At 42.0% G+C, this 21,422-nt stretch overlaps 1 protein-coding gene across 8 annotated transcripts in view, besides 1 other annotated feature; it reads left to right on the top strand.

Annotated features, from left to right (window-relative positions):
• The window catches only part of TNIK (TRAF2 and NCK interacting kinase), a 401,995-nt gene that overhangs the window by 274,922 nt on the left and 105,651 nt on the right, over positions 1-21,422 (top strand). For all 8 annotated transcript variants that reach the window (NM_001161566.3, NM_001161565.3, NM_001161562.3 and 5 more), the window contains exons 8-10: positions 8,107-8,161; positions 10,157-10,235; positions 18,217-18,392. In NM_001161566.3, coding sequence (NP_001155038.1) covers positions 8,107-8,161; positions 10,157-10,235; positions 18,217-18,392 — 310 coding nt within the window. The remainder of the gene's footprint in view (positions 1-8,106; positions 8,162-10,156; positions 10,236-18,216; positions 18,393-21,422) is intronic.
• Positions 11,343-11,412: a silencer, noted in NCBI's record as "silent region_14890". NCBI's record gives its function as "represses an Ori minimal core promoter by ATAC-STARR-seq in GM12878 lymphoblastoid cells {active_cell/tissue: GM12878}" and the evidence as "EXISTENCE:reporter gene assay evidence [ECO:0000049][PMID:35858748]".

Genomic DNA, 21,422 nt, shown 5'->3' with positions numbered 1-21,422 from the left:
TATGTGGGGCAATAATGAAAGCTTTCCCGTTTAATAATAAGCATTCAAAAGATTTGAAATTAATAAAACTGTTCAAAATGCCTAGGCTGTTTAAATTGTTATTTTTTTAACCTACTTTGAATTTCATTTTGGTTGGATGGGATCTGCTAAGCATTTTATAGTCCTGTGTATTTATTACTTTAACAGAACCACCCACTAAGAAATTTCTGTGGCTGAATGCCACAGTATAGTACACATAATGTAGTCTTATTCACCCCTCCCACCCCATAGACACACACACACACACACACACACACACACACACACACGGGAAATCTATAAAGAACCTGGAAAAACTTAATAGTATTTACTTTTGAATAGGGCATGTGGATGGAAAACTTACAATTTTTATTTTCTATATCTTTCTGTCCTGTTATGTTTTTTGCCATAAACAGGCCTTGCTCTTATATGAAGCCAATGAAGTAAGAGATGCACAGTGAAATGGCTTACCCCCTTATCCCACTCCCCACCAGATTCCTGTCCTCAGGCCTGATCTGTGCCAATGTTGTTTATTATTTGCCTAAACTCTGTTTATGAGACTTTCATATGGGTGCTGCAGATTATTTGCAGACATGGGTGTCTCCTCCAGCGTTTGGGTGAATATTGTGCTCTGGTTGTAGAGAAAAAGTACTCTTTTCCCCTGTGTCACAGATAATTGGCATTATTCAGGCAGGGTGGAAATACTTCTTCTAAGTAAGAGTTTCAGTTGGAAATGAAGTGAGCAACCTAACTAGTGGTAGAGTTTCCGCCGTGCAGGGTGTCACCTGAGAGGACAATATTCAGATTGCAGAATGATGCATTTACACTCTCAAACAAGTCGTGGCCTCTGTCTACTGAGATTCAAACAAAGGTCCTTCCCTATTCGATCAGAAGGAAGATGACCCAGATAGCATGTTAGTGTCACCAACAGGAAACTGAAACTCCTATTCAACATATTTCTGTGGCTCTCTGTTCACACCCACCTATAAAGGATTCCTTAGTGAAACGCAGCCAGTACCTCCTCCACGCAACATGCTGATACCCAGGGGAAGAGAGTGAGCTATTCTAATATTTTCCCTTTGGTCACATAACAAGTGAAAATGGACAAAAAACTAAAGATTTCTGTCCTCAGTTTGTTTTATGTGTGAAATGGGATTATTAATAACTATCTCCACTTCAGTGACCCTAACTCACCACCTAAGTTCTGTATCTAGATAACATAATATATAAATATATAACATAATTAATAAGAGTCAGTCCTTTGAAGTCAGACAGGACCAGTTTAGACTTTGCCTCCTATTTGCAAATTAACTCAGGGGAGTTATTTAACTTTTTGTAAACCTGCATAAAATGGGAATAATAAATTGTTTATTCGGAGGTTATAATAGAATAAAGTGAGAATATATATAAAGGGATTAATACAGTGTCCACCACTTGGTAAGTACTCAATATATAGTACTTAGTATATATATTATAGATAGTTTTGTGTTTATGTTATCATATGGAAGTATTGCTATTTGGGGCCTTTTTTTTTTTTTTTTTTTTTTAAGACGGAGTCTACCTCTTGTCACCTAGACTGGAATGCAGTGGCACGATCTCGGCTCACTGCAACCTCTGCCTCCTGGGTTCAAGCGATTCTCCTGCCTCAGCCTCCTGAGTAGCTGGGATTACAGGCGCCCGCCACCACGCCCAGTGAATTTTTGTGTTTTTAGTAGAGACAGGGTTTCACTGTGTTGGCCAGGCTGGTCTTGATCTCCTGACCTCGTGATCTGCCCACCTTGGCCTCCCAAAGTGCTGGGATTACAAGCGTGAGCCACTGGACCCGGTGGGGGCCATTTTTTACCCCTAAAAGGCAACAGTTTCATACGGTTCAACCTCATATTTGTGTTACACACCTCTGTCTGCTTACGTTGAGCCAGAATCTGCTTCTCTATAACTTTTACCACTCAATTAAGATGTTGTCCCTAGGGACCATACACACAATGCATCAATTTCTTTTTCCCACCTGGAACATTTCAAAAGAATAAACTAGTCACAAATAAGTTACCCAACAAAAGACGATTTTCTGCTCTGTGATACAGTATGCTGGCTGTGCCCATTATTAAGCTATTGTCTGTCAACTGTGGACTGCCGTGCTGCTCTCTGCTTTGTGATAATGGAGCTAGGAGTCAGCTGTCCTCCCTTCTGTTTGTCCATCTGACTTCTTATCAGGCTCTGCCAGCAGGGAGCAATAGAGAACGGGAGATCAAGTCTGGAGGAGGAAGGAGGACACACGTTTTCCTGTTTGCTTCCTGTAAGCTTCTTGTTTATGCCTGCATGGTCCCTGTGACCTCTTTGACCACCACTGAGTACCAGAGCTCCCTGTCATCTTACCTGACTCTGGTTTGCTGGTTGAACTGCCAGTTGATGATATCTGGTCCTAAGGGTCTATCTGTACCCACATTCGTTGAATACCCAATGCAGCATGTACTGCATTGTATATTAGGCACTTTTTGCATATTCTTCCTTATTGAATTCTCTTACCAGTCCTGCAAGACATGTGTTCTTTTCCTGTTGCAGTTCTTTTCATGGGCTCAGAGTTGTTAGTTGTGTCACAGTTGGGTCTGGCTGCAGACCATAGGCACCTTCTACCTCATGGTGCACATTGGGGTTCTTGTCTTGTGCCACACAGCCTCTCATTCTTCTGTGGCTGGTTCAGACATCTAAACGTGTTGCTTTTCTTCACTGTGTTGAGCAGCCCAGCCCCAGAAGGAATGCTTTCTTGTTCTGTTCAAGTTGCTTGTGTATCAGCTGTTCCCCACTCCCACCCTTTCCAGCAGCCAAAAGTTCTGTCTTGCCTCTGCCTTCCCAAAGGCACTAGAATTTGTCTCTCTTCTGTTTGTAATGCACATAGCGCTAGGGTATTAATCATGCCACAGGCTAGGCTGCACAACACCTCTGGAATAATGAATTATCCAGCTTCTGCCAAAATGAGTCACACCATGGCCATGAACGAAACTTATCTCTTTCTGACTCTTTCCTCATCTTGTTCTTCCATCTTCCCTTGCTTGTCTCCTGTGATCTGTCTTGCCAGTGGTAATTGGAGCATTTTCTCCTTTACTTAAGTTCTGAAGTGTCTTTGGGACTCGCTAATGTATCCAACGGCTAAACAAGGCCTGTCAAGGACATTTATGGCTTTCTAGCATGGGCAGTTGAGTGTAGCTTACAAGCAACTTTGGATATATATGACCAGGAATATAAATGTTCCTTTTGGAAAACAAGAGAACCCCAGCCAAAAAAAAAAAAAAAAAAAAAAAAAAAATCCTAACAATGATATCAAATGAAGGCTTAAGGAAGCAGCAGAATTGACTAGGTCATGTGACTTAGCAGAGTATGCACAGGTATTTGTGGTGATATGACCTTTGGTTTGAAAGGGGTGTTCTGGTGGCTTAGGGAAAGGCTGCCCAAGAGGGATTCTGAGGTGATGTGTACTAAATAAAGTACATATTTTTTCCCTAAACCTTCTTGCTTCCTGTGGAATAAATCCAGGATTACCTAACAAATGAGACCTCTCCATTTCCTTACTGTCAAAGTATGTTCTTCAAATTACTGCTGTATGTGTATTATCACTTAGGAATGCTTTTGTCTGTACTTACGTTTCTTATGTCACCAGAAATCTAGAGGTAGGCAGTTCAGGGTTCATGTGATGCTTCACTGATACCTTCAGAAACCGAAGCTCCTAGCTTTCTGTGCTGGCATCATTAGTCTGTTGGCAATAACTCATGGTTGCAAGATGGATGCTGTAGCTCCAGATATCATATTTTTATTCAAGGCACTAAGAAGTGGGAAAAAGTTAGCAAGACACTAGCTATATTTGTCCCTTATTTCAGGAAAAGCAGAAGCTCCCAGAAGATGTTTGCTTATGTCTCATTGGAGAAAACTATGTCACATCCCTAACTGCCATCCTTAGCTGTCGGGGAGTCAGGATAGGCAAGTGTGGCTTTGCTATACTCTGAAATGGAAGCAGCAACAAAAATGAGGGTTGAAAATGACCATTGGGTTAGCCAATAAACAATTTCTGCCACAACTAAATGAAGGGAAATCATAGAAGACTAAGTTGGGCAGGCAAAGGCAGTGTCACCTGACAGTGGAGAAGAAGGAAATCAATATTCTTGAGCCCTACTCTGTGCCAGATTTTGTGCTAGCAGCATACCTGATCAATACATGCATGCCACGGTTATTTCCATTGTGCAATTGAGAAAGCTAAGCTCTGAGCAACAGTCTGCATGTAGCTAAATTGGAAACCTCTATTTGAATTCGGATCTGCCTGTCTTAAAAGCCTATTCTCAGCTGGGTGTAGTGGCTCATGCCCATAATCCCAACACTTTGAGAACCCGAGGTGGGAGGATTGCTTGAGCCCAGGAGTTCAAGACCAGCCTGAGCCACATAGTGAAACCTCATCTCAATCAATCAATCAATACCTGTTTCTTTCTTTCTACCAATCCATGTTGCCATTGGGAAATTGAGGCGAGTTTTATAGCATGAAACTGGAGTACCTCACTGAATCTCAGTACCTTTATTGAGTTGCCAGCACCTTCAGTCACCTATGGACAAAGTAGGAATCTGAAGTAATTATTTTATGGATTAAAAATGCATTTTGATAACAAAAATGATAAGGGGAAAAATGGTGAATACTCAAGTCCTTAGATTGTGATGCTAGTTAAAAGAGAACTGGCCTAGGAAGCAGAAGACCCAGCTCAGTTTAAAACCAGCTGCTAAGTTGCTCTTTGATCTTGGGTAAGTCATGTTCCCTCATTTGTGAAGTGAAAGGTTTGGCTAGGTGATCTGCAAAGAGTCTACTAGCCCTAGAACACTTAGGTTTTGCTACGTTCTCTCATGTATCTTTCATTTGTTCATTCATTCAATAAATATTTATTAAGGGCCTACTGTGTGCCAGGAGCAGTTCTAGGTACTTTGGATACATCAGACAACAGAACAAAGATCCTTGCCCTGTGGCTCTTAGGTTCTTATGTATGTGTGTTAGAGGTAAAGGGCACAAGCAATCAACACAAAACATGGTAAATTAGTGATGAATAAACATGTCGTATGTTAGAGGTGGTTAGTTCTGTGGGGGACAAATATGGGGAAGGGGCATGAGCAGTGCTGGGGGGAGGTCCCAGGGGTCCTCGTTGAGAACACAGGGGTTGAGCAGGCTTTGGGGAGGTGAGGGAGTCAGCTAGCACATCACTGCTGAGGTGCTGCAGGAAGAGGTAACAGCTTGAGTCAAGATCCAAAGGCTGGGCCTTCGAGCATTTTCCTTCTTCCTGACCTGAGGCCTGGCCTTGAGTTCTTCTTACCCCAGAACCATCATTTTCTTTCACATGTATTGGTTTTCAACCCAGCTCAAAGCTTTCTGGACTTGAAAGCCATTTAAATTGGACCCTTCTGTTGCAGTTAGGGCCATAGAGCCTGGCTGCCACCTTCTTACTTGTGTCTTATTTCACGCTATAGAAACTCTCAGTTCCTAGGGATTTGGGTAAAATGGTGGTAGAACTACCAAGGTCTGGAGATACTAGAGTCTTATCAAAATAGCACAGGGACCTTAAGAGCCAACCCACCATTTCCAGACTATTATTGCTGTGTTTCCTGTTTAAAGCCTCCTGAACAGCAAATGATTCAGTGTTTCTCTCATGTTCCGAAATGATTATCTTTGTCTATCAACCATAAAACCCCAGGTACAGGCCGGGCACGGTGGCTCATGCCTGTAATCCCAGCACTTTGGGAGGCTGAGGCAGGTGGATCACGAGGTCAGGAGATCAAGACCATCCTGACTAACACTGTGAAACCCGTCTCTACTAAAAACACAAAAAATTAGCCGGGCATGGTGGCAGGCACCTGTAGTCCCAGCTACTCGGGAGGCTGAGGCAGGAGAATGGCGTGAACCCAGGAGGCGGAGCTTGCAGTGAGCCAAGATTGCACCACTGCACTCCAGCCTGGGCGACAGAGCGAGACTCCGTCTCAAAGAAAAAAAAAAAACAAAAAACCCAGGTACAATAGAACTGCGTTTTTGTCTTTACCAGTTATTGCTCCTGAGCCAACTTGTAATAGATGGGTTGAGCCATCCCCATCAGCTCCGGAAATAACCTCACTAAGCGAGGCCAAGAGCCTCTGGGAGACTCAGTCACTTGCTAGGCCAGAGAAACACGGGGTGCAGATTGCGTTTAATGAAAATCTTTGTGTACATCTTGAAACATAACAAAGAGAAGGGACAAGAGTTGACTTTGTGAGTTGTGTTGTATGCAGAGAGTTCCTTGGAGTCTTAGAATGATGGTGTTGTGAAGGTGCATTGCTATTCCCAGTTGAACTGAGAACTGGTAACATTGAAAGAATCCCCCTTGCTCCTAGTGTGAGGTTACACATGTGCCCCAGCCACCTGCTCTCAGGTAGACTGCACTTTAGGCAAGAGGCTAGACCCCCTAGAAAACCCCCTCCACATTGTGCAGACCTCTGCCCAATTACTGAAGAGCCCTGAGTGTCATTTCACAGGATATTGAGAAACTTAGTTCTGGGGAGTGACTCAGCATGAAGGTTATGAATTTTATGAAGCTCTCTTCCAGTTACATCTCTTTTTCATGTGGCCTTGACATTTGTTTGATGGCAATAGCAAGGAAACTTACCTTTGATCACTCTAATCTGAGACAATTTTGAAAAATGTACAAAATGCATGAGGTATTTAAAATGAAATATCTATATTAGGATGTGGGCCATTGAACCAAATTTGATACTAGATTTTCTTACCAATCTGCTGTGAAACTGAGGCAGCAAGCCTCTTCTTGGTGTTTTCTAACCAGGTTTTCCCCATCTCTTGATATTCCCCCTCTCATGCAATATTTAGAGACTACTGAGCCACAGACAGAGTATGGGAGGAGAATATTGTTAGAGATGGAGATTGTACAGGTAGAAATGGAGGCATTAGCCTAGAAAATTCTGTTCAGAGAATAAAAGTCACTCTGAGCATAAGAAATAATATAAAGGTATACTGGCCTCTATTGTTACATACTAGTCTACTCACAAAATAGGCAATAATTGTTTATCTTTTCAACAAATACTTTGAGTACCTCCTACTGTGCCCAACTCTGATCTAAGCACAAGAGAGACATCAGTGAATGCCATCATCAAAAAGTCTCCCTGTCCTCATCTTATTAGGTAAAACCATATGAAATTGCTGTTTTTCTAGTTAAACCAATTGAATATAAATAACACCTACTATCTGATCCAGCCATTCCACTCTCAGGTATTTAACTAAAAGAAATAAAAGCATACACCCTCGGATTTGTACACCAATGTTTGCAGCACCTGTATCTGTAATAGCCCAAACTAGAAACAGTCCAAATGCAAAAACAGTGATATGTCCATAGAATGGAATACTACACAACAATAAAAAGGAGTGAGATACTGATATGTACTACAACATGGGTGGACTTCAGAAACACTATTCTACGTGAAACAGATCGAATACATAAGACCACATATGATGTGATTTCACTTATACAAAACTTTGGAAGTTACAAACTAATTCATAGTGACAGAAAGCAGATCATTGGTTGCCTAGGGACAGGAGAGTGGGGATGGGTTCAGGCAGGAAAGGAAGGAGGCAAATGAGATCTTTGGGGGATGATGGGTATGTTTACTGTTTTGACTGTGATGATGTGTTCACAGGAGGATCCCTACGTCATACCTTATCAAATGGTGTACTTTAGGTACAGTTTATTATATGACAATTATAGCTCAATGATGGTGTTATAAACAGTCAAATAGCAGCAATTTCCTATGGTTCAACCCACAGATAAGTTTCAGTAACGAATTAATTTAAAATTGTTTATATTCATTTTTCATACATTTATTGATAAGCTGCCATGTGCCAGACACCATGAGTGGTACTGTCAATGAAAAGTAAGACTGTTTCTGCTTTGAAGGTTAGTGGAAGAAATAGGTTTGTAAACAGAAAACTGAATGACTTTCACAGGAAGTTCTGAAGCAATTACCAGGTTTAACCAAGTTGTCCTTTGTTGACTGAATTTATGTGTGTGTCTGCCCCTTCTTTTTCAGAGTGACTTGTGGTCTTTGGGTATCACCGCCATTGAAATGGCAGAAGGTGCTCCCCGTAAGTACCCTCCTCTGGGGTGAAATCTGTTGCTGGTCTGCTCTGCAGGTACTGAAGTTTCCTTGCCAGGAGCTGCAGTTGCTTTACTTCCACTACACCGAGCCCTGCATGGATTCAAGCTGGCATATTTAGAAAGCAGAGTCATCTTAAATCAACCAGGAATCCATTCATTTCAGAGCAGTGGGAGAATCCTGTTTTTATTAGAAAAAAAAAAAAGGAAGAAAAAGAAAGCATACTTTGGGGAGTCTTGTTTGTTTTACAGATTCTGTACATCATTTATTCTTGGACTACTCCTCACCTGACATAAAACTGTGACCAACTCACAAGACTATAAACTCCAATGTATGAAAATCCAAAATTAATTTTCAGTGCACAGGTTATACAAAGACTCCACTCAATGGCTATCACTCCTCTTAAAATACTGATGTTTAAAATTTTAGATTTCCCTGCTATTTGAGACAGAGTGGCTAGGGCTCCAGCAGTCTTGAGAATCTCAGTTCCTTGAGATTTGGAGTATTGGCCCCAGCAGAGAGTCTCTGTCATGAGACTGTGCCTCACAGACTTCCATATAGGAAGTGTAACTGATTGTCAGCCCCAGCTGCTGCAATGGCAGCAGGCCGCACCTTTCAAGGGCCACTCCCCGCCAGTGACCTAGCACAGTGGGGATACTAAGGCAGGCCCTTTCCTGGAGGACACAAGATTCCTTTGTAGGCAACTTTCACCCAAGTAATCCCCTATGACTTTACAAGACCTGCAGGACAGGCTGGGACCCTTCCACCTACCTTTTCTCCCTCTCTCCTTCACTCAGGGTCAGACTTGCATAGCAATCTGATGACTTCCCATACTGCCTGGCTCCTTCCCTGTTTCCATTCACATAGTAATTTACCCAGTAATATCCTTGGTGTCTGCATCTCAAAGGACTAGGACAAAAATAGGCCCTTTATTTGCACGACAGGTCATTATACTTATGACTTTTACCTTCGGGTTGTCATCGTTTTCTTACTTCCCAGTCTAGAATTGGTAGAACTCATCTGTAGCATGATTGATTTGGAGTGCTGGTTGACAAAATTGCCCTCATTCACAATGCTAATAGGCATGTGTGAATCAGAAAAATAATATATTGCAGTCTTAAACCATATTATCATTCTTGATGAGTGGTAGACAGGGCTAAAAATAAACTTCTGCCCACAGAATCCTTTGGCTTTTAGGGAGCATATATTCTTATTCTAGCTACAAAGTAGAAATTCTCCCAGATGTTTGAAAAGTAAACTAATAAAATATTTTATTAAAATAAGAACATATGAGTGCTTTCACTATAAACGATAATGTCATGTTTACAAGATGAGATCTTTTTATAACTTTGTTTTTCTGCCAGACTCTGTGTGACTTAATCCTCTGGGCTTCCTGGGGCCAGTGAATTTAAAAACAAAATGAAACAAAACCCGTTACGAAACCTGAAAAGCCATTCGGGATATCTGGAAACAGAGAAAATGGGGCTCTGGGGCTGGTGTTTTGGACTCCAAAAATCTGTGTAGATAACAATTGCATTTGGATGAGCTGTCGACGTGTAAGAAATAGACGGGATAATGAAATGCCTTTTATTTATGGCTTAGGCTTTTACTAATTAAAAATAGCTTACCATCTCCATTGTAGTTGTCATCTGATGGTATTTACTTTAAATGTCAGGTGGTCATTCACAGCAAGGATGGCTGGTTGTTGACCCTTTAACTTAGTTTCCTTAAATATGAAGTAAACATGTATTCACTAGAAATGTTAGCAGTAGCTATGTGAACCATGTTGTATTTTATGAGACTCCTGTAAGTGGATATTGGATCTTTCAAATGCTCAGAAGCATTTGGATATTCTGACTTTGTGCTCACTGGTGGTGTGTAAACTGAGTGGGTCATTGGGCAGCCATTATCTGCACAGCCAAGACGGGCTTGGCCTGGGTTTGGCCTCCTAACTGTAGCTGGCCCTTGTTTTGGTCTCTTGCAGCTCTCTGTGACATGCACCCCATGAGAGCTCTCTTCCTCATCCCCCGGAACCCAGCGCCTCGGCTGAAGTCTAAGAAGTGGTGAGTTTGGTCTTCGATGTTTCGCAGATCTAAGGGTGAGGTTTTCTTGTGATTCTATTTTGGATTAGCTCTAATCCCTAGGTCCTGCTGATAGAATGAGACTAACATGTATGATGACTTGGTGAATTACTTTCCATATGCTGTCATTCATCTTAAAGTATATATTGAGTATCTACTGTTTGTACAGCAGGTCTTTATTCCCCCACCTTTAAGGTAAGAAATTATTAGCCAAAATGGGTAAGTGAAGCCAAGTAATAACATGAAAGCTCTTTGATCTATAACTCCAAGTCATATCTTTCCTGGCAGCACAGAACAGCTTATCAGAGAGGGTGATAGTTTAGAGAGTCAGCCTGTTAGATTGGCTGATTTCTCTTCTATTCCTTACAACAATCATTCCCTAAGTGCATATACATACCAGGTAATGTTTGAGATTATTTCTCTGGCTCGTGTATGAGCATTTGCAGTTTTTTTGTTTTTACTACTGTTTTCACATATGGCAGGTGATACTGGCTTCTTATTTGGGGCAGCGATTTAACTTTTCCTTTTGATAAACTTACATAAAACAGTGGCTTAATTTAAAGGAAACTACTACATGAATACTAGTATGAGTGGTGTGAGGGTACGGCAAAAATTATGTTGATAGGATATGACTGACTGACATTTGGGAAACAGTTCTACAGGTTAAGCCAGATGTTGGATGTTTGACTTTTTGGGGATAATTATATAGTTGGGATCTTCCTATCTTATTATTCCATAACCAAAATTCATTGCTTCCTCCTTTCTTCCTATGGAAATGGTGTATCCTCCCTGATACATTCTTGAATCTCGGATTACTCATGGTCTGAGGTCAATTCCTGCACTATTTGTGACCTCCTATCCTTTTTCTAGAGATAAGTCCTGGGCAGTGAGACCATGAGGGACAGGATCCTTCTGCCCCTTTCCATAGCCCTTCATGATCAGGCGCTTGACTGGGGTCCTCATGTTTCCCACCCACCCACACACAGGCTCACCTCTACCATACAGGGGGCAGCCTTAATTACCACCAGTCATCTACTAATGAGAGCCACCCTGGTGGAACAGAGGAAAGGGCACACTGCACAGAAAGAGGGAAGGAAACAGCCAGAAAAGAGATGGCAGCCTCAGAATTGCCGGGCCCTGCGAGGGGAGTGAGAGTTGCTATTGGTAACAAGGAGGCAGAGCGTTCCCTGCTCCTCCTTCCTCTGCAGAGGGTCATTGTGGTGCAAGACAACCCTTCTCTCCCCAGCAACAGCCCTCCCATTGGGTGTCATACATCATGTGATCGGCAAAGCACCCCAACACCCTGCTTCCTCTCTTCTCCCTGGATCAGACTCCCGGGGAGAGGGACTGGCGCAGTTCTCTTCCCTGGAAGTGACAGTGACACTACAAAGCCCTCTGCTAGGTTCCTGCTTGATATCTGAGCTGAGTCTGGTGTATACAGTGGGCTTTACTTACCCTGTTCCCTGCCCTATCTTCTCCTTGTCTCCCTTTACTGCTGCAGGACACGTATTCTGAGCTTTTCCACAGAGGAGGACAAACTGGCCCTCCACAAATGTATTTGGCTGTCACACTATGGTCATATACCCTGTTTTAAAAATATGTGTATTAATTGGCAACACTTAAAAATCTGTCAATTGAGCATTACATTTAGATTTCTGGCCTTTTTCTTGCAAAGATGCAGTGAACTGCCTGCAAAGATGCTAGCTGCTGCTCCCATTTAGGACAAGTGATTGTCCTTCTCCTCCAGCTGCCACCTCCCCCCAACTCAGAAGCTGGTGTCAGTTGGTTAGTATACATCTCCTGTTTTCTTTTCTTTTCTTTTCTTTTTTTTTTTTTTTGAGACGGAGTCTCGCTCTGTCGCCCAGGCTGGAGTGCAGTGGCACGATCTCGGCTCACTGCAAGCTCTGCCTCCCGGGTTCACGCCATTCTCCTGCCTCAGTCTCCTGAGTAGCTAGGACTACAGGCGCCCGCCACCATGCCCTGCTAATTTTTTGTATTTTTTTTTTTTTTTTTAGTAGAGACAGGGTTTCACCGTGTTGGCCAGGATGGTCTTGATCTCCTGACCTCATGATCCGCCCGCCTCGGCCTCCCAAAGTGCTGGGATTACAGGCGTGAGCCACCGCGCCTGGCCACATCTCCTGTTTTCATCTTAACCATGGTCTACACCACCCCTTTTTGTGACCTACCTGACCCCACAGAAAAGTGAGTGAACAGCCCTTGCCCTACAGTGTCAGTTTTCACCGACTGAGACCCAAAAAAGATCAACGGTGTGCTGACCTTGTTTGAGAAATACAAACTTTTAGGACAATGCAGTCTGATTTTTCGGCTTCAAACCTTTGACAACAACTAATTTTAATAATGCTGGAGGGAGCAGGAGAAGTTTGGAAACACTGAGAAGTCCAGGCCAATTTCATCTCATCCTGCCACCTTGCACACCTTTCCCTGATGTGTAAGGAAAACTGAGTAGGAAAGCTATGGGAACAAGTCCCATATTGTCAGACAGGGAAAGGAAAAGTAACCTGATTGCTAGAGAGAGACCGGGGAAACAAAAGCCCTGATAATGTGCCATTTCACACTTCGATCCCAGCCTTTGTAGAGGTGGTGGTGCAGCCTCCAGGCACATGATACTTGACAGCAGACATGGCTCCCATTTCTCTGCAATACAATTCCACCAGTTTTTAAGTGAAAATATTTAAACACTTCAGAGTATTTTATCTTGAAAGCGCAGGTCCAAAGTGATTTGAAGTAAGTTAGGGTTTACTTTAATAGACTCTAGTGTTTGAGAGGAAATGAAACATTTTGTTTATGTTTTTTATTTTAATTATTTAAGAGGAAAAGACTCCCTCCCCCGACCAAGAGACAAAATTCCAAAACATTCTTTTATTTCCAGCTATTCTCTACCTAAATGAGTTACCGGGTTAAATGCCTTGTTCTCAGTGTATATATCAACACCTGACCAAAGGGGGCGCCATTGTTGAGACAGGGCCATGAACTCTTCTCATGGCAAACATTCAATAAAGCATCATTTTCAACATGACTGAGTCTACAACATACAAGGCATAAACTGGTCTCTTAGTGTGAACTTTTTTTTTGTTTTTTAACTTGTACCTTCAAGATTTGAGAAATAAAGGCAGTGGCACTGCTCTTTCCACTGTCATCGTGGAGGGAAAGGAGACCACCACCACTCACAGGAGCCCAGTTCTTCCTTCCCTATTGGTATGATGAGGAGAGGCCTTTGTGGTATGGGATGATGAAGTTAGGGCACCACTGAATGTTCAGGCAGCTCAGCCATTTAATAATAAGTTGTCTGGGAGGGTTGTAACCTTTGTGGAATCAGAGGAAACCAAAGATACTCTCACCCTCTACCTCCATATCAGCACCAGCAAGTGAAAAGCAAGACTGGGATACCCATTCTCTCTTCCTGTCTCTTGTGCGTGCGTAGATTCCACTCGCAGGGGTAAACCATCTCCTTCAAAAGATTTTCTCCTACCTTCTCTTGCCACCCTGCTCATCCACACTCACCTGCCCTCGCAAGTATACTCAGTGTCACTGCTTCCCTCCAGGACTTTCTGGAGAAGGATAGGAATGGCTCCATTAAGTATAAGACAGTGAATCTTTCATGTGCCCTTTAAATTTGAAGAGCCCACACAGGCAAAGCAGCACTCAGTTGAGGTCATTAGAAAAATCATAACTGCTTATATGTACAAGCTCCACTGGTCCAAGCCACTCATGCTTCAGATGCAGGTGTGCAGGCCCAGTGAGGCTAAGTGGTGTATTTGCACGAGTTCTAGCCTCCTTACTGGGAGAACCAGCCTGGACCCAGCCTCCTGCTTTTGCTCCAAGGCTAAAAATCACCCCCGTTATTTTATGAGGCACCAGTTCTGATTCTTGGTGGGTTGTCAGACTTTTGAGATAGGACAAAGTTCGTGTGTGTGTATCAGAAATTCCTTCTACTAGACTGAATATTCTAGTAGTAATGTGACTTTGAACTTTGGACTTTATTAAAATCCAGCTAAAAACTATTACACAGACTTTAAAAATTAACCTGTTTGTGCAGGCTTCTTGGAGATAACAGCCCAGTTGACTCCTCCTGCTAAGCTATTTAACCCATACGTGAAATAATTCCCTTAAAGAACTCTATGTTTACTTAGTTCAACAGAAATGAGGATTTCTTTTTTTTTAGAGACAGAGTCTCATTCTGTCACCCAGGCTAGTGTACAGTGGTGCAATCATAGCTCACTGCAGCCTCAAACTCCTGGGCTCAAATGATCCTCCCACCTCAGCCTCCCCAGTGGCTAGAACTACAGGTGCATGCCACCATGCTCAGCTACTTTTTTCTATTGTTTATAAAGAGACCGTCTTGCTATATTGCCCAGGCTGGTCTCGAACTCCTGGCCTCAAGCAATCCATCCATCTCAGCCTCCCAAAGCACTGGGATTATAGGTGTGAACTACCGCACCTGGCCAGAAGTGGGGATTTCTGCTCCTAAGTCCTAAAGGCGGATGCTGTGTTCCTTAAGTCCAATGATGCTCAGAGATTGCTGGGGGCAATGTCATCATAGTCATCATCATCATAATAGCAAACACATATGTGGCATTTATGATACCAGGCACTGTTCTCAATATTTTACATGAATTAATTCACTTATCATAACTTTTTTTGAGATAAGTACTAATAATATCCCCATTGAATGCAGCCAGGGAAACTGAGACACATAGAAGTTAAGTAATTTGTCCAAGTTAGTAAGTGATGCAACTCAAAGTAAAGGAAGAGGGTAGCTTTTGGAAATAGGGCAGGGCCAATGCAAATTTTAGGCCAAATTGCGTTTAGGGAGTCTGATGATTACCAAAAACTTTTAACCCAACTGATTATAATAGCTAATGTAACAATCTTTCCAGCATTTTGAATTCCCCCAACACAATTTAACATATAAACAGGTTCAATCTGGGAAGATAAAGTATTTAGTGACTCTGATAGTAGAACTAGTATTATCAGACTGTAGGTACCAATCATTACCATTTATTTCTCCATGCCAACCCTTGGGAAATCAGTTTTACTAACCTTAGGTGTTTTTATTTTATAAGAGACAGAACTACATTACTATCAGCAGAGATTCAAGCAATAAAGTTATATAAATGTACTTTAAACTCATTAGAACACTCAGCAAACAGTGAGGTAATATTCAACATAGGTGAAGTGTTTTCACTCTTAAATAAGTGTGTAATTAAGCATATTGATTCTTTGGTCATGCTAACTTAAGACACTACGAATCCTTCTTTGAAGACTCATTTTAAGTAAACATTATTTTCTCTTCAAAGGGTGCCACTTGAAGAAGATATGAAATATATTACCAGCTTTGTAGTTCTGCACAAGTGGGCCCATCTTTTAGGCCCAAAGTTATTCTCTTGAATATCTCTGAGTTTTTTCTCCCAGCAAGGCATACTGGGAAAAAGTACTCTGTTTAATAACTAATTTCATTAAACTTGAACACTATTCCATTCTGGAGATCTGGAGATTTCTCTGACTGTTATTTTAGATGCCAATATCAGGGAATAGACTGTACAGTCTATTAAATCTGGATCTTACTTTTAAATTGAATGTGATTTCTTTTATTTATCAACCTCTAATTAATAGTTGGTTGAGTACTTTATAAAAAAAAGCACTTCTGGCAGGTGCGGTGGCCCATGCCTGTAATACCAGCACTTTGGGAGGCTGAGGTAGGCGAATCATCTGAGGTCAGGAGTTTGAGACCAGCCTGGTCAACATGGCAAAACCCTGTCTCTACTAAAAATACAAAAATTATCCAGGTGTGGTGTCATACACCTGTAGTCCCAGCTACTCAGGAGGCTGAGGCAGGAGAATCACTTGAACGTGAGAGGCAGAGGTTGCAGTGAGCTGAGATCATGCCATTGCACTCCAGCCTGGGTGACAGAGCAAGACTCCATCTAAAAAAAAAAAAATAATGATAATAAAATAAGCACTTCCTTCTAGTTGCCAGCAAGAAAAAGAGAACTGCCATTTATATTCCTTATAAATATTTCATACCTTTCTGTCTTAATTTTTGTTTTCATCTTTTTAATACTGATTTTTCTACCTGGAAAAGTACTGTATGGAGTTTGTTTATATCTTCATGCAGGTCAGCCTCATTCTCTTCAATTCATTCCTTAGGAGTGTCCTTTATTTCATTACATTTTTCTGGCAAGGTTTCTTCTTAGATGAGATCATATTTATGCCTCCACAGATTTATTTGATTGATCTGAGAAAGAGAAGAATATCCGCTCTCCAAACCTCCCTTTCTGTCCCTCAAAAGTGCAGACTTGAAGGTGGCCATATTGCAGCTCTTGTCCAGAACCTTCATCACGCATTCACTCATGCACCAAACACACAGCTCAGGTAGTGTGCTCATGATGCAAAGATGGCTCAGGCACGTTGATGCTGCTGATGATTTTCAGTGGGAAGAAGCAAGGATATGCATGGAAGCACTTAACAAGGAGGTGCACAGAGTGTCCTGCTGTCACTATTTCTAGTCCACAGTGTGGCCAACGCTGATTCATCCTGGGGCAACCCCAAGCACAGTAGGCTACCTTTATTTCTAGGTAAAATATTTTAAAAGCTTGAATGTAGCTTAGAAATTTAGAGCGGAAAAAAAAAATACCAGTGATTCAGTACTTTAAAAACATGGAATAAAGTGAAAAACTGCTTTGACCAGGGCAGCACTAGAGAGTGGTGCATACAAAAGTGCCCTGTCATGTTTGAGTGTTGAAGAACATGCTCTCCATTGTGTTCTGTGTGGTGAGGGCACCTCTCAGGCCTGGAGAGTATGTATGCAGGGACTGCCGGGCAAAGGCTCAGTCCTGGGATCCACTCCTGTATCTCCCCTGTGCACCACAGGAGAGCAACAGAGAGCACAAAACAGATCATTCCTGCTCTGGGCAGGACAGGAAGGGTGACCCGAGTTTCATCAAGGTCTCCTGGAGTGCCTTGGAAAAGCATGCTATAGAGTCATAAGCTTAATTATTGATGACTCTGAACAATTTCTTGGAACTTTCAGCAAGAACATGCGTGCTTAACTCATGAATCACGGCTGAAGTCCACCATTAATTTCTGCCACATTGTGGCCTTACTGCCATAATCGTAGGTATGGTATCTCTCGCCAGCTCTCCCCTGCCAGGTCTCTGGCGTGGGGTTTATCTTTGAGGAAATATTGCCTTTCTAGAGGAAGATAAATTTGCATCTGGGTGTGAACTTAATTCTTTAAAGTTAAATGTCTAAGTCCTTGAGTTAACGACAAAGGTACACATATACTTATATGTTCTTATTCCTTGGAAAGCAGCGTTCAAAAGTGATTCTGAAACTACTGGTTACAAAGTTTGCCTAATCAAAGTTCACTTCATCATATAAAAATCTTGCTCATTTCTACGAAATGCACTCCCTGTTACCTATCCAACCTTGGTTTTACTTTCCTCCAGCTTGCATCTTCTGCCTTATTTAAGTGGCTCACCTCAGTGTCCCCCAACATACATTATTCTCATCCTAGCCTGAGTTTTTCACTGTCATCCTACATATCTGAACTATCCTTTCCCCAGAGTGATTTTCTCCTAATTTTTAAAGGCCCAGCTATGGTTTCCTTATTCCAATAGCCCTTCTAGATGTGATTCCCATAGGGGTCTTTTTCTTCCCTGCGTCCTTTTGGTCTGCTATGTAATGTTACATATAAATTGTGCAAAAATGCTTTCATGTGCATAACTACCTTCTGCTACCTCAATTGCACGTTGATGATGATGATGCCTTTGAACCCATTATGCCTAATATAGTGCTACAACTGTTTTCTGATTAGTGGATGATCCCTATGCCAGCCAATTGGACCTTAAAAAAAGAAAAAGTCCCAGCATTTCAGAAATTACACATTTGCTTTTCTTTGGATCGCCGTTTTATCTGTGGATTCATTTCTTTTGTTTGGCAGGTCAAAAAAATTCCAGTCATTTATTGAGAGCTGCTTGGTAAAGAATCACAGCCAGCGACCAGCAACAGAACAATTGATGAAGCATCCATTTATACGAGACCAACCTAATGAGCGACAGGTCCGCATTCAACTCAAGGACCATATTGATAGAACAAAGAAGAAGCGAGGAGAAAAAGGTTAGACGCACATTTGTATTTCAGCAGCAGAAACAAAAGATGGAGTGAATCATGGGCGCTTGATGTATTTGGAGGTGACTATGGGGATTTCAAATGGGCCTGCATTATTCTTTAGTGCGAGGGGCTGTCTCTGAGACCACAGCCTCTGGGCATCAGTGGCGTGAGACTATTGAAGTAGAATCTTTCATGAAAAAAATAGAACTGCAAGAAACATTACCTCTGCCAGGCACTGAACAAAGTCATGTTGAATGATACTATGAAGTACTTTAATATGACAAGTGATTTTCTTAATTCAAATTAATATTCATGTTTAGAAGACTAAAACTCTACAGAAGACAGATAACCTAAAGAAAAAAATTCATCTAGTTGACATTTTTCTGTACTGACATTCTTCAACATTTAAATTTATGTGCTCTGAGGCTCATTTCTAATTCTGTTATTTAGAAGTCAGAAATAATTTTTTTATAGTTGCAGTGATAGAAAAGATCATTAGGTTGCCAGGCTTGCTGAATGGAACATCAGATTTTTGAGCTGAAGGTCATTTAACACACTTCTTTATTTTATATATGCAAAAGCACATCTTTGTGACTCTAGCTCTTATATGTCACTGTCTCTTCACTGCATCATTGAAAGAACATGAGTCCAAACTTGGAGTCTCAGGCTGCACCCTACCTTTTTGAATGGAAGCTTACATTTTTAACTAGCATAGAAATGGTATGCTAATACTGTATATTAGGGAACATTGAGGTGAGCTGCCAAATGAGACAAAATGCAAGCCAAAGAAAAGTGAAACTAAGGTTGGATGGGTAAGGGGAGTGCATTTTGTAGAAATGAGCAAGATTCTTATATGGTGAAGAGAATTTTCATTAGGCAAATTTTGAAACCAGTAATTTCAGAATCACTTTTGAACTTTGCATTCCAATTAACAACTCATGAGTCATAGCTAAGGTTCACCACTAATTTCTACTACATTGTGTGCTTGCTGCCATAATCATCGGTATGGTATCTCTCACCAGCACTCCCCTACCCTGTGCCTCTCTGGCATAGGATTTATCTTTGAGGAAACAGTACCTTTCTAAAGGAAGACAAATTTGTTCTTGGAGATTGACTAGCATATTGACTGCGCCATGACCAAGGTAAAAACTTGCATGGTCTGGAGCAGGTTTAATGGCTAGCTGAGGTAGGGCAAGTTAGAGTATGGGAAGAGAGAAATGGAGAGGACAGCAGTGAGGGCTTTCTGGGTAGACAGCAGGAGGGGGTTGCTGCTGGGAGGATAGCAGTGAAAGGCAGTGTGAGGCTGGAAAGCTGAGCATTAACAGTGTGGTGAGTGGACAGTAGAGAGGAAGACCAGAGACTGAGGATGGGAGGGGAGGCACATGGTGATGTGCTTGTTCTTGCTTCCTTCCTCTCCATTTCTCTCCTCTCTTCAGTTCAGAGGCAGTAGCGGAGGGTAGCCCACAGACAGGACAGAGGCTGCCTTTCTGTTATTTGCATTTCCTTTCTTCTTTGCCTCTGCAGTTAATACCCATAACACAAGCTGGGGACTAGCGGTGGGGGCGGTGAGCAGTATGAAAGTTGAGACTGGATTGGAGAGGTAAGATCAGCAGAGGGCTAAGGCAGGATGAGAGAATCTCAGTGAAGGTTCCAGAAAGAGTTCCTTTTTTTTTTTTTTTTTTTTTGAGATGAGTTCTAACTTTGTTGCTCAGGCTGGTCTCAAACTCCTGGGCTCAAGGGATCCTCCACCTCAGCCTCTCAAAGTGCTGGGATTATAGGCATGAGCCACCCACCCAGCACTTTTTTTATTTTTTATTTTTTGAGACAGGCTCTGTCTCTGTTGCTCAGGCTGGAGTGCTCACTGCAACCTCTATCTCCCGGGCTCAAGTGATCCTCCCATCTTAGCCTCCCAAGTAGCTGGGACTACAGGTGCACACCACCATGCCTGGCTGATTTTATATTTTTTTAGATTTTTAGTAGAGACGAGGTCTCACTATGTTGCCCAGGCTGGTCTTGAACTGCTGAACTCAAGAAATCCTCCTGCCTCAGCCTCCCAAAGTGCTGGTATTATAGGCATGGGCCACCAAACCCAGCCCCAGGGAAGAATTCTTATGCAGCTAGCAGGGACTTGAAGGAATGTATGATCAGCTTAGACTATCATACATTGTTGTGAAGCTAGGCCAAAACGGTGGCTCATCTGCAGTTAATAAGATGTCAATTAGACCCTAAGGAGCTGGGAGGCCAGCCCAAGCTGGAGGAACTAGGCATGAAGAGAAATACATAGGTCAAACTCAAAAGTTCCAGGACTGATTTTTCAATTGCTCCTTGTCCATGGTGGTCTTGGGCTACTCCATGAAGTCAGAATTTTTAAGGGCATATTTTAGGGCAGTGTGTCAGACATGCAACCATTAAATGCTAACTTCTCTCAAAAGGACATTTTATTATACGGTGAATATATAGCATAGTTTAAGTGCTCAGACTGTTTTCAGATTCATATTCTGGGTTCAAATTCTAACTCTGCCCCTTATCAGTTATGTGAACATCACTCCAGTTTTCTCATCTTTAAAATAAGATTGAGAGTATACTACTAATATCTACTGCCTCAAATAGTTGCAAAGATTAAACGAGGTAATGCATTTAAAATGCTTGACATAATGTCCAGGACATAGATGCACTCAGTAAATATCAGTTATTCTTATGTAGGCAATTACTTATTGACCCATACTTTTTCATCACTTACTCAGAGTACTTTGTGAGAACTCATGACCCATCTCCCTCTGGGGCATAAATAAGAGTGATTGAAGCCTGTGCCTCAGGTTGTTTCCACATTTTGTGGGGCACAAACTCTGGAATGTGACTCAGAACTCACCATGCCATGAAGATAGATCATTTTTAATGTGTTTGTTCTCTGCAGAGTGGAAAAGTAAGATTCTTGGGAATAGGTATGTTCAAGAGTTATGTAGTAATTTAAGGAATCTAAGCCTGTTTAGGCTTAGGGCCACCAGAATCACAGTTCTAGTCTCCTTTTTGTCTGCT

This window comes from Homo sapiens, chromosome 3, assembly GCF_000001405.40.
Source record: "Homo sapiens chromosome 3, GRCh38.p14 Primary Assembly".
In the NCBI taxonomy this organism is placed as follows: Eukaryota; Metazoa; Chordata; class Mammalia; order Primates; family Hominidae; genus Homo; species Homo sapiens.
The sequence above is the reverse complement of the archived record's forward strand: the minus strand, read 5'-3'. Positions and strand labels throughout refer to the sequence as shown.